Source organism: Homo sapiens, chromosome 6, assembly GCF_000001405.40.
Source record: "Homo sapiens chromosome 6, GRCh38.p14 Primary Assembly".
Lineage (NCBI taxonomy): Eukaryota > Metazoa > Chordata > Mammalia > Primates > Hominidae > Homo > Homo sapiens.
The window spans coordinates 17281090-17294159 of NC_000006.12; the positions used below are offsets into that span (position 1 = coordinate 17281090).

Consider the following 13070-nt stretch of genomic DNA (forward strand, 5'->3'; position numbering starts at 1 on the left):
CCGCCGCGCCCCCCGCCCGCTTCGGCGCTCGGACGCTCTTCCCGCGGACCCTCCCCACACCCCACCCAAGGCACCTGATTCCTAAGGAAGAAAAATCTACCTCTAAAGCACCCGCTTCTTCGCTTGAGAACTACCCTCTCTTTTCATTTTTGGCCTCCCCGCCGGGTGAGTGGAAACCGCTTGCACATTCTATAGAACCCGATTCTAATCCAGACGATCCGGAGAATTTGTACGGTGACCGGCAGGGGGGGCGGGAGGAGAGAGCGAAGTCAAGTCTCCAGGGCCGCTGGCGACTTCGGAAGCCGCGCGCCCGGCGCTCTCGGCCGCCCCCGGCCGCTCGCCCCCGCCGCGCCGCCGCCCTCGCCCCCGGGCTCGCCCTTGGCCCCCGGCGGCCGCGAAAGGGTGCGGGAGACGCGGAGCCGGAGGAGGAGGCGCAGCCGCTGCCCGAGCCGCAGCCGCAGCCGGAGCCCGAGCCGCGGGGCGGGTGCGAAGATGCACACGACCCAGAAGGACACGACGTACACCAAGATCTTCGTCGGGGGGCTGCCCTACCACACCACCGACGCCAGCCTGCGCAAGTACTTCGAGGTCTTCGGCGAGATCGAGGAGGCGGTGGTCATCACCGACCGGCAGACGGGCAAGTCCCGGGGCTATGGATTTGTAAGTTGCACGGACTGGGGGTGACGGGGAGGGACGGAGTGGCGGCTGACCCCGGGGATCGGGAGCTTGGAGTGAGGGGCTCGGCGTGACCCGTGAGGAGCCCCGCGGGTAGAGCGGCGCTGCCCCTTCGCTCCGGGGTGAACTGAAACTTTGCTAGGGGAGAGGGTCGGCGCCAGCCTCGCGGGGTTCGGAGAAGACCCAGCGCTGTGCGAGGTCGGGGGCCGGGCAGGGCAGAGCAGGGGTGAAAGGAGAGACCTGTAATGACGGCGGGATTTGGGGTGCGGAGGGTTGCGAGGGAGGGGCCGCAACCCTGAACAATTGCATTCCCGGGCTGGATGCCGGTTGTTAAGCGCGCTGTTGCTTTGTAAAAATGCGTGTGTTCTGGTGTTTTGGCTGGGGCAGGGAGGGGACACCCCACGAGGTCTGGGGCTGTTGCCCTTGTGTCATCCCCCCGCCTTTTAACTGCAAAGGTAGGTTCTTTTAAATCATGATCCTAGGGCTCTTTGCCGAACTGAAACAGAGCATATTAAGCTTCCTTCCTAGAGATTTAAGCGTGCAAATTCAGCTGCCGAAGAGCAGGGAGCCCCAGAGTAGGACAATAGCTATTGTCGTTGGGGAGTGTTTTCGAGGTTGGGAGCGTTGGGCGGATGTAAGGCTGGACTTTCTTTAAAGCAAACGGTGCCTCTGAGGCTGAGTAGGGACCTGGGGGGCGGGGGATTCGGGGGAAGGAGGATCTAGAGTTCCAAGAATTTAGGCTTCCAAATCTCGGCTAGGCCCTACTAACACCCTTAAGATTTCGGCGGTGGGGTGGGGGGAGGCAGGGTTAGAGGGTTTCTTTCTTTTTTCCTTCGTCTACCCGCCCCCCCCCCCCACGCCCCCGCCCGCCTGTTAAAAATGGGAGATCAAGGAGGAGGGTCCAGCCAAAAGAAGCAAAGAATAGAAAAAAAGTTTGATCTCAGTTTTATCATGAATGACTTCTCCATTGTGATTCTTGATTTCCTTCATGGGTTAATTTAGAGGTTATGTATGTATGTCTGTGTGTGTCTGTTGCTAAGGTCACCATGGCTGACCGGGCTGCTGCCGAAAGGGCCTGCAAGGATCCCAATCCCATCATTGATGGCAGAAAGGCCAACGTGAACCTGGCATACTTAGGAGCAAAACCAAGGATCATGCAACCAGGTGAGAAATGTCTGTCTCCCCTACCCCCCTCTCCAAGAACCCCCCATTTATGGGTGGGATGATTCTCTAATTTAGAAGACATTGTCTCTTTCTGTAGATGTGTTTAGTAAACTTGAACCATGGCTTGTTATTCTACCAAGGCATTAAACATAAATGAGAGTTGTAAATACTCCTCTCAAGGCTTGAAATGTACCTGTGTGCAAAAATGGATCTTGGGGGTCGTGCAGGAAGAAGAGTTAGTCATGTCTCACCTGTTTCCTATATGGCATACATTTGTAGTCTGCTCTCAATTTTCCAATTTTTAGCCACCTGTAGATAATTCACATGTGGATTATATAGGCCAAATTTGTCGACTTCAGCTAATATACTTCCCTACTTAGTGGTGTCTCTCCTTTTAGCACCAGTTGCACTGTGCTCAGAGCAGGCAGTCTGACTTGAACACAGACCCAAGGGAAGCATTAAGGGGTAGGGGCGATGTCCAAATGGTAAAGGTTTTGTTTTTTTTTGAGATGGAGTTTCGTTCTTGTTGCCCAGGCTGGAGTGCAATGACGCGATCTAGGCTCACTGCAACCTCCGCCTCCTGGGTTCAAGTGATTGTCCTGCCTCAGCCTCCCAAGTAGCTGGGATTACAGGAATGTGTCACCACACCCAGCTAATTTTGTATTTTTAGTAGAGACGGGGTTTCACTGTGTTGGTCAGGCTGGTCTTGAACTCCTGACCTCAGGTGATCCACCCGCCTTGGCCTCCTAAAGTGCTGGGATTACAGGCGTGAGCCACCGCGCCTGGCCCAAAATGGTAAACCTTCAACATAAAATCACAGAGTATTAGCAATCAAAGAAAACAGAAATTGCACCTACTCAAGAACCCTATGCTACAGACAAAGAAACTGATGCTTAGAGATGAGAAATATTTTACTTAAGTCATGTAGCTATTAGTTGCCAAAAGGGAGCAGTTTTTTGTCTATGGGAAAACAATACCTCTTGGATTATTTACAACACTGCCCTTTGCATTAGCACAAATAGTTGAGAGTTGATTTTTAAGCAAATATAATATTTTCTTTGGTCAGGCAACTTTACTTGTAAAGTTTGATTAAATCATATACTCTTCACTCCTAAGCCTTTCCATCTGAAATTTTGGGAAGAGGTTGACACTTCCATCCAAACGGGTTTAAAAGGAAACTAGGTTGTCAAGAAAATGAGTGTTTGTGCAAATATTCATGGGCGTTAAAAAAATTTGTCTAATACATTGTGGGTATGTAGTATCCAGAAAAAAAACATTTTTTTTTGTGAATTTTTAATACTGGAAAGTGTAAAACCCATAATCTTCCAAAGCATTGTCTGAAGCATCCCAGAACGTTCCAAATTACAAAGACTTTTCATAGATTCTGGTTCAAAACTGTGAGAATATTTGAGATGTAACTTCACTGTCAAATCCTGCTGTACTTAATTTTATTTCATGAACATTTTCCCAAGGTCTGATTCTGTGTCTGTCAACTAAAATTTGCAGATTTTTTTAAAGTTTTCACCTTTTCTCTGTTAAAACCTTTATTTTGAATCAATGATAGCATTTATAAAACTGACTTTAAAAAATATACATACATATAGTTTCTTTAAAGTGGCGAAAGAATGTTTATCTTTTATAAGTGAAAGTTGTGATTGCATTTTACATGTAGGAATAATAAATGCCTAACCATGCACAAATAAAGAATGTGGTATATTTTGTTGTTAGGTTTTGCCTTTGGTGTTCAACAACTTCATCCAGCCCTTATACAAAGACCTTTCGGGTAAGTTGATTAATCAGGCTTTCTTAAGTTTCAGTATGACTATCATTTGTTAACGTGCCTCTTTGTTATATACAGATAAGATCATGATGTCACAGAATGGTCCTAGTTATACAATTTTATATATATTTGTGCATTTTTAATGCTGATACTATAAATATTTTTAGATGAGTCAAGTTATCTGACCAAGTATGCAGCCTCCAAACGAGACAAATTTTGAGCTTATGATTAGCAAAACAAAACAAAAATACCAGGTATGACTTGTGTACAAGACGATTGTGTCCCATCACCATTACTACTGTTCGACTTGACTCAATTTTATTTATCTCTTTCTAACCTGACAGGGCTCGTATACAGTTAAGCTAACTGATCAGAAGGATACCATGATAAGAGGTGGAATAGTTCTGTTTGGAATTAAACTCTGTAACCAGTAGACTCAGACACACAAGCTCAGATGGTGATTAACGATGCATGGATGTTGGTGTTGTTGTTTTTATTTTTCACAATAGTCAATAGCCCTTCGTGTGCTTTATTTTATTTATTACAGTAATGAAGTGGTGTTGATAGCTAAACTGTGTGCTTTTTACTTAATTGAAAAGAGCTGTAGTGAAAGTGTTTTCTTTTCCTCGGGGAAGGGGCTCTTTGCGTTTTGATTTTGGTGGTGGTGTTGAGGGGTGTTGACTTTTGACTTTGCCATGGGAAGCAAAGGGCCTTTTTTTTTTTCTTGCTTTTAAGCTGTAGCCTGTGACTTCCATTTAACCACATTTTTGTAGTGAGTGCTAAATTGTGTGATTTCTCTTTGTCAGAATACAGATTCATTGCTTGCATGTCCTAAGTTTCTGTTTTATGGGAAATTTTCTGGGAATGGGGTTCTTTCTTTTGCAATGTGTATCCACTTTTAGGCCATCTAATTTAAAGGTTCAACAACTCTCATCAGATTTTATTAACACAAGCCAGTTTTTTTGAGTAGCGTCACACTAACTTTCACCTTTCAGATCTAACTCAGGTGAACACCTGTTCATATTTATGTTGTCTTTGGGTCCTGTGATTACCAGTTTTCCTGTTCCAAGGTCCTCATTTCTCTTCCTTTCAGAGGTTATATGGGTGGGAGATCACCCCTCGCCTCAATTTATCCTGGACACTAGATTCTGTTTTGGCTCTGTTCTACCTGATCAACATGCCTGTAACTCTAACGCAGGATACTTAAATTTTCTTTTTAAATGTTCATGTTGTTGAAAGAGTGTTTTATCCTCAATAATAATTTCTCCTCTAGCTTAGGACCTAAAACATCTACCTGTGTAACCTGGAAGGCTGGAATCTGTCTACATAGATAGATGTCTACCATATGTGTCTCTAAGAATAGATTTTAAAAAGAAATTAATAATAACTTGACTTGGAAGAGTAAAGTTATATTTCCCATGACCACCTCCTTACAACTCTAACATATCGGTACCTCACTGTTATTGCCAACTACTACTATTTTTTTTTTTTTTTTTTTAGCTGTGGAAGAGTCTTCTGTTCAATATGATCAGAAAGGGCCTTCCTATATCCATAGCTACTTAGCAAATCCCCATCCAAGCCAACCCAAATACTGAAAACAAGTGGTGGGTTGATGGGTTCAGCTATTTCTGTGGGTAATTCATTTAGACTTAACTGTTTAAGGTGGGATTAGGGAGGAGAGCATATATCTGAAGGTGTGATGTGAGCTTAGTGGTGGGCTCACACTAATAATCTTGAAACAGTTATAAAATTGAATCAATCAACAGGTAGTTGCATGTGTTTATTTTTTCACTGTGCCAGTGGGTGATGCAAAATGAGGGAATTGCACATTAGTTTGGGAAGCAAAAGTCATGCAAAAACCAGTCAAGAATTATTAATTTCTAAGTGACTTGGTATTGTTTCAAGTACAAAAGGAATTCAGAGTAGCAAGAAAATAGATGAAGTGGAGGAGTTGAATAAGGCTGTGGTGTGCATGGCAGGTAGACTGGCACTAGACTTGCACCACTGGGTATGTCTTAGGCAGGTAAAAGGAAGACTGGATATGTCTGGAGGGTATAGGATGGAGTGAGCCGAAGCAGAGGCATAGAGGAGAAGACTCAGTGCGTGGAGAAACCAGACTGTCTAAGGTGGGTCTTGAGAGCTGGGCATAGGAATTTGGACTGATTGTGGAAGTCCTTATAGATCAGTTCTTAAGAAAGAAGGTAACACAAGGAAAATTACAACCACCAGTGTAAGATGTGTCATGGAAATTTGAAAGCAAGTGTGTTTTGATAGCAACCTTTTGTTTTTCACCTCTTCTAATATTAACTGTCTTTATAAAGGATGGTGATTATTAGTGTGTGCATAAATTGTTTGAACTTGAGATTCTTATTAGAAATAGATAGCATTCCAGGTGGACCAAGTGAGCTTTCTCTTTCTTTTTTAAGAGGTTCTCAACACTGCTCTAATTTCAGAGTCTGTACCTAACAAATCACACCTGGTCATCCTAAATTCTGTTTGAATGCTACATGTTCCTATTTTAGGCCTGGAAAGAAACTTGAGAATTTCAAATTTGACTTGACTTACTTGAAATTCTAGTAACTGAACTGTTCCTTTGAATGTGGTCCTTAAATGGCCCCCAGGTGACTTTGGGCCTCTGTAGACAAAACCTTGGCCTAAAAGGAATTTCTGATGTAGCACAGTGGGCAGATGTAGAAAAACTTATAAACTTGCTAAACAATATTTTATAGTTTATGGTTGAAAGAAGCATTTCCTTATTGAAACCTTGGAAAGGGGAGGCTACAGATCTGTGAGTAGAAATTTCTGGGCTAGTGGCCAGGTGCGGTGGCTCATGCCTGTAATCCCAGCACTTTGGGAGGCCGAGGTGGGTGGATCATGAGGTCAGGAGGTTGAGAGGGCGAGACCATCCTGGCTAACACAGTGAAACCCCATCTCTAATAAAAATACAAAAAATTAGCTGGGCGTGGTGGTGGGCGCCTGTAGTCCAGCTACTCGGGAGGCTGAGGCAGGAGAATGGCGTGAACCCAGAAGGCGGAGCTTGCAGCGAGCCGAGATTGTGCCACTGCACTCCAGCCTGGGCGACAGAGCGAGACTCCATCTCAAAAAAAAAAACCAAAAAACAAATTTCTGGGCTAGTTTAGATGAGGTTGAACATACACTTAAACATTGACTCAGTACCCCTTTAAGTGCTCAGTTTTATGCTGGGTGTGGTAACACTGTGCTTAGTTTTTATAGTGTCCACTAAGGAGGGCAGGAGGGACTGTAACTAACACTAACCAAACATCTGCCATATGGATTGTAATGATAAGGGATTTACATAAATTACATAATTTAATTCTCACAGTAAGTGTTTGTTGAAGGCATTGTTAATATCTTTTCCAAAACTAAGACACAGAGAGGTTAATTAACTTCCCCCTGATCACAGGACTGCTAAGTGTTAGAGGCTGAGTCTAGATTCAGAATCATGGTCTGCCTGACCTCAGAAGCTGCAGTCTTTCCTCTTTGTCAAGCTGTAGCCCCAAAAGACAAAACTCTATTCTCTCATAATCCAGTAAGAAAGCCGATAAGCACCAAGAAGGGCTGTCCATGTGGCTTCAGATAAGAGAGACGAACATCAGGACAATGAGTGGGATTCAGAAGTCTTCGTGAAGGAAGTAGAAGTTGACCTAGGTTTTAAAGAATGGTGGAGGGTAGGGAACTCTTTTATTGAGTGCCTACTATATTTGGCATTGTAGACTCTCTCCACAGATAATTTTATTTAATGCACAGCAATCCAGGGTTGTGAGATTATTAGTCCATTTCACATATGCAAAATAGGAGGCTATGTTAAGACAACAAAGCATAAAAAAAGAAACATATGAGACTAAACGATAAAGCAAATTTCTGAAACCTCTACACGTAGTGAGTGCTAGAGCTAGGGTGAGTGGGATTTGGATTTCAGCAGGTAGAGACAGTGTGAGGATTAGCATCTGGGTGAGGGATGAATGACATGAATAAAGGGCAAGAATCTGGGAATGTGAAGCTTGTCCAGGAAACATAAAGGAGCCCAGTTGACCTGGGTTTGAGGAAAGGTGGAAGGAAATACTAGAAAGGTGTTTTGGAGCCAGGGGCAGTCTGGATGTTTTGGCCTAGAATGCCAAGGCTTAAGAAATTTGCACTGAGTTTGGTTTTTTAGGGGCCAAGGATTACTTTGAGCAAATGAATGAGATGGAGTATTTGTCATCAGTTGCTGTGAGATAGATTGGAAAAAGAAACCGATTAGGATATTGCTTCAAAACCAGTTAGGATGTTGCTTTAAAAGTCACATAGAGATGTCAGTGGAACCTGAAGAGATGGGAAGAAAAGGAAAATGTAGTAAATTTTCTTTGAAAATTACCAAAAGTGTCTTCTTTGCACTTGTGCTTTTTGTAACTGCTAGGCATGCACGTTTTATGGTTAAGGAAACGACATTGGTAAATGTCTAATAGGAGGGAGATTCCCAGATCACCTTAATGGGTCTCAGACTATTAAAAAGAACTCCTAATTCAGGATTTCATTCCAAAGTGCCACTTGAACCTTCAGTCCAATTCTGCCTTCCTTCCTGACCCAGGATATTTTAGGCTCTCCAAGGTCTTTCGGGTTCTCCTTTTCCCTCTAAGCCTTAAAATGTTCTAGGTTTTCATTTGCCTTCCAGACGTCTCTTTAACCTTTGCCAAACTTCATGTAGGAGTCTGATAATCCAGTGAACTTTCTTTATATTCTCATTGTTTGACATTGTGAAATCAAAACTATTTCCTAATGCAAAGTAAATGCAGAGCTAAAGCCCCCTAAGCAACCTTGCCTGTCTTTTAATGCATTCTTCACAACACTTTCTCCTTTTTGTAGGATAAACATTTTCACTTAACACCTTAATTCAGAGATACCAACCTAGCACCCACAGTGTTGTTCTTGGAACTTTGAGAGTACAAGGGGTTAAGGTTTCGGTGTCAGTGAGATCCGCACTGGCTGGCCTTTGCAGCTGATAGATGTTTTACTTTGGCCTTATAAAGACATTTTACCCGCTGGAAACCCTTGTCGCATGACAGGATCAAAAATAGCCCGGCTGCAGCCCCTGCTGTCCATCACCACATGTAAACTGGCATAAGAGTAGGCTCTCTTAGCCGTGTCTACACGTTGTAGACACGGCAGCCTCCAGGGACAGTGTTTCATAAAGCCACACCTGTTGTTGCGAGTGAGCCAGTCACCTGACCTGCAGCAAAGTTCTGAGTGTGTGCATGACCACGCGCCTGGTTTCTGACAAGCAGTTAAGAACATCTCTGAGTGTCCTCAGAAACACTTGATGACGTCGTTTCTCCTGGCACTGGGAAACATCTACAAGTCTGGTAAAATTGAGTGTATTTTTATCATTGGGGCCAAAGTCCACTACCCTCTGAGATAAATTCATCTTTTCCATGGATGTTCGTTAATGAGTGCTTTCAGTAAAACTCTGAAAAGGCAAAGCAAAATCTATGTTTCTGAAAAATCTACAAGTGCTGTTTTCTGTTTTGAGTTCTTTGAAATTGAAAGGTTGTTACTTGTCCTTGTACTTCTTACAAGTTGGCTTTGCCAGCAACCACGTAGTATTATAGTGTCATGTTTTTAGATATAAATATAGGGGGCTTTAATGGAGATTATTTTAAAGAAGAAGATAAATCAGATATTTATGGTAGTGTTTCAGATGGGCAGTAATAAATTGCAAGAGTGAGAATGGAGATGCATGGAATTTTTGTTTAAATACCTCTTGTGATTTATTTTTTTAACCACATTAACTTTTAAGTAACGTCATTGGAGTCTGTCTTGTATTATCTGTGAATGTATAATTTTAAAAGATACTTGGTTTTGTTTGACTTTCTTGAACTTTTGCAGGATAACACATGATTATACAATTGATATGATTTGTACAAAATATCAACGAATAGGGCAGATTTCGAACATAACACTAACGTATTTCTGCTAATTTGGAGGATGAAACAAGAGTTAGTAGATGTGCAAAAAAAGTTTCCTTGTTATGTAAACCTTTTAAATTTCTATTAATTTTAGAAATATTTAGTTGTACTTCCCTGTCCTGCCTTTTCCCTCAACCTCATCATTTCCCCAAAACCCCTTCTGTCTGTCTTGCATAGAGATAAACAAGCTGGCTGACCCTCAGGTGCCTGATAGTCAAACAGGTTTGGTTGACCGTTGTGTCCTTATGAATTTTATGGGGGAAAAAAAAGAGAAAGAAAGAAAATAAGTGTGCTGCACATCTCTTTGGGAATCACTGCCATGAATGTTAATAGCATTTTTGTAGCTTCCCACGACAGCCTCTTGTGACAGAGTGAGCTGCACTACAGTTCGTTTGAGAAGTGTGATTCTGCTGTGTTTACCACACTTGTGAACTTTTAAACTCCTTTTTCTTATTTTGTCGCCTGCTTCCTTTTTTAATTATTATTTTTAATAAGGGTGACTGAGGTTGCAGAGAGATTAATGTGTGCTGAGTCTGCATAGCAATTTCAAGTAGGGTTGCCATGATAATAAACATACGGATTTTGTTAACGTTTATGTTAATTTCGACAAACTGGTGATCACCCCACAGAAGTGAATAATTATGGACTACCTTTTGAGTCCTATATTCTTGGCTAAGAATTTTTCTATTTACTTAATTAAACATTCTTATTTTATGAACTCATTACAAAATTTTCCAAAGTCTTCATCAATTGAGCACTTGTTAAACCTCTCTTACGTGTGTAGCCCTCATGAATCTTGATTTATTTTCCAAACTCTTGATAAACTGTACTTAGCAGCTCCAAATAATCATACATGACAATTCTAGCAGGGAGGGTGTCATCATATTTTTGGGGTCCAGTTCTTCTGGGGGCACTCTATGACTTTGGCTACTGCCTGAGTATTCTCAATGGACCACTAGAAAGTAGATATTGTGGCAACCCTATGCTCATAATAACCACTAAATTTGAGTTTGTTTTATCTTTGAACAACATGCTACAGTTAGGAGGTGACTACCGCCTGACTTTGTTTTCCATTTCTCAACAGGATACCTGCCCACTATGTCTATCCGCAGGCTTTTGTGCAGCCGGGAGTGGTCATTCCACACGTCCAGCCGACAGCAGCTGCCGCCTCCACCACCCCTTACATTGATTACACTGGAGCTGCATACGCACAATACTCAGCAGCTGCTGCTGCTGCCGCCGCCGCTGCTGCCTATGACCAGTACCCCTATGCAGCCTCTCCAGCTGCTGCAGGATATGTTACTGCTGGGGGCTATGGCTACGCAGTCCAGCAGCCAATCACCGCAGCGGCACCTGGGACAGCTGCCGCCGCCGCTGCAGCAGCTGCTGCCGCTGCAGCATTTGGCCAGTACCAGCCTCAGCAGCTGCAGACAGACCGAATGCAATAGACCAGCCATCTGATCAAAGTTGAATTGTTTTCTCTTTCCCTCCCAATTTTCCAATTTTTAGTAGCTAATAAGAGAGTTAACATTGACTTAACAGCTTTAAAAAAAAAAACAGCCATGCTATTGTGAAGCAGAGTTATTATTTTTTTTATACTCCAGGTAGTGTTCTAGATGAGAAAGAGGTAAGAATGAGGGGAATGGGCACAATTTTGGAAATCAATCCCAAAGAGCCTGAGTAAATGAAAGGCCACTACGAAATGACGCCAGGAGTAACAACGGAACTTCACTTTTGTAACGGGATTTTTATTTTTGCTCTTTTTATAGTATCAGGGAAGCAAACTGCCTTTTACAAGTTAGAAAATGCTGTTTGAATCTAGTTGAACCAGGGAATACAGAGCGAGCAATATGTAGCTTGAATTACATTTAAAAGCAGATTTTTTACAAACAAAATGGCGAAAGCACTGATTGTCATTTTTAGCAGTCACTTAAGGCCTATAGAACTTTTTTCAAGTCGGAAGGTCCTGTTCTTACTATCTCAAAAATGGGCATCGAACAATCAATCTAGGAGCGTGGCAGTGGGTAAAATGGTGGACAGGCACCAAAGCTATTTTCTCATCTGTCCTGTGGATGAGTGGAACTGTGGAACAAGTGATGTGGAATTAATGGGTGCAACAGCTGTACAGACAATCAATAACACACACAGTTCTGGAAAGAACACATCACTTGTGCTTGTTTGATGAGCTTGTCACATTCTAATCCCTCTCCCCATCCTGTTTCAATTTTGGGAAACTTGTATCTGCTGGTGTCAGCAATTCTGATTCTGAAATAGGATCAGGCTTTTACTACAACAGCCTTCTCTTTCTATTTATTGTGTCGACTCGTGGCTTATGAATAAAGGCAGGCAAAGTTTGCAGAACTGTCTTAAGGACATTTATTTTTTTTCCCTTTTTAAGTAATTTTACACTTTAGTATCTATTTCAGAGTCATATTTAAAACTATTTATTAGTGACTACAGTACATGAGACAACAAGGTTACTGAGATTACAATTCTTCAAAGGTTAATGATAATGTGGTTTATACTGTGCCTTAATAGTAATGCTATTTAAGATATTTATTTTTAAGTTTTACTATGCTGCACTCTAAAGAAAGGAACTTTAGATGTGACACTGTAAAATTATGTATTCATCTCATGGCATAAATTATTTAGTAAGTCTAGATGTAGCGTATTAAATATTAACCTATTCAACTAAAGATGTTGACTTGGATTTATTTAAATTCATATGTGCACTGTATAAGAGAGTACTCTTACATTAACACATTTTAGTTTAGTTTTTAGATTTTTTTTTAAACGATATATTGCTAGTTTCATGCTTCCTCCTCTGATTTTGCCTGTGTAGATTTCATTTATTGGTAATTCATTAGTTTAACACTATTATGTAGTTTTTAAATGCTGCTTTACATTTTTCTTCTGAAACTGCAATACTTGCAATTTTTATTCTTAAACTAAATTGAATACTATTTTACACTGTATTGGATTTTTATACTTGAACAATTTCATACAAGGGAAGACAGGTTAGCATTTTTATGGACTTTCTCCATTATCACTGGATTTACTTTAAGTATTCCCATACTAGACAGTGTTATGTAATGTAGACATGACTCTCCTGTGCAAATTATTTATTCGTTGTGTATATTGCTTTATAACATTTCAGATCTTCTAATCTATTCACTTGTATTAAATATAATTTTTAAAAACTTCTGTTGCATTGGCTGTTTCTAATTCTGTAGTAAAGGTCAATGATTTCTCTTTTGAACTTGAATCAATAGCCATGATTGATACGTAACATTTTCAGTGAGCATAATACTCTCTTGGATGTCCTGGTTTTGTGCCTTTAAAGTAAGTTTCACTAACTGAATATCTACCTTATACTTAGCAAATGATATAGGTCATCCCCTGTCCCACCAGGGGAGCCCTAAAGGACTTCGTATCACTGAAAACTGGTTAGCTGAAAGATGGCTTGGAAGGCGTGGGCCAGTAGTAGA

General features: G+C 41.7%; 1 protein-coding gene across 6 annotated transcripts; it reads left to right on the plus strand.

The window, feature by feature from the left end:
- The first annotated feature begins 271 nt into the window (after window positions 1–271).
- RBM24 (RNA binding motif protein 24) lies at window positions 272–12782 on the plus strand. 6 transcript variants are annotated; one of them, XM_011514388.3, is made up of 5 exons: window positions 1716–1839; window positions 3568–3622; window positions 8483–8979; window positions 9760–9804; window positions 10667–12782. In XM_011514388.3, exons 3-5 carry the CDS (start codon window positions 8937–8939, stop codon window positions 11041–11043), a joined length of 465 nt encoding a protein of 154 aa, XP_011512690.1. In that variant the 5' UTR covers window positions 1716–1839; window positions 3568–3622; window positions 8483–8936; the 3' UTR covers window positions 11044–12782. The 6 variants fall into 6 exon arrangements, with proteins under 6 accessions (NP_001137414.1, XP_011512689.2, NP_001137413.1 ...); NM_001143942.2 differs by lacking the exons at window positions 8483–8979; window positions 9760–9804 and adding an exon at window positions 272–660; XM_011514387.3 differs by lacking the exons at window positions 8483–8979; window positions 9760–9804 and adding an exon at window positions 272–660 and having other exon boundaries at window positions 10695–12782.
- The last annotated feature ends 288 nt before the right edge of the window (window positions 12783–13070 follow it).

Coding starts and splice junctions, on each gene's coding strand:
- RBM24 (NM_001143942.2), top strand. CDS start 493: ATGCACACGACCCAGAAGGACACGACGTACACCAAGATCTTCGTCGGG. Junction 661..1,715: donor AGTCCCGGGGCTATGGATTT/GTAAGTTGCACG, acceptor TCTGTTGCTAAG/GTCACCATGGCTGACCGGGC. Junction 3,623..10,666: donor CTTATACAAAGACCTTTCGG/GTAAGTTGATTA, acceptor ATTTCTCAACAG/GATACCTGCCCACTATGTCT.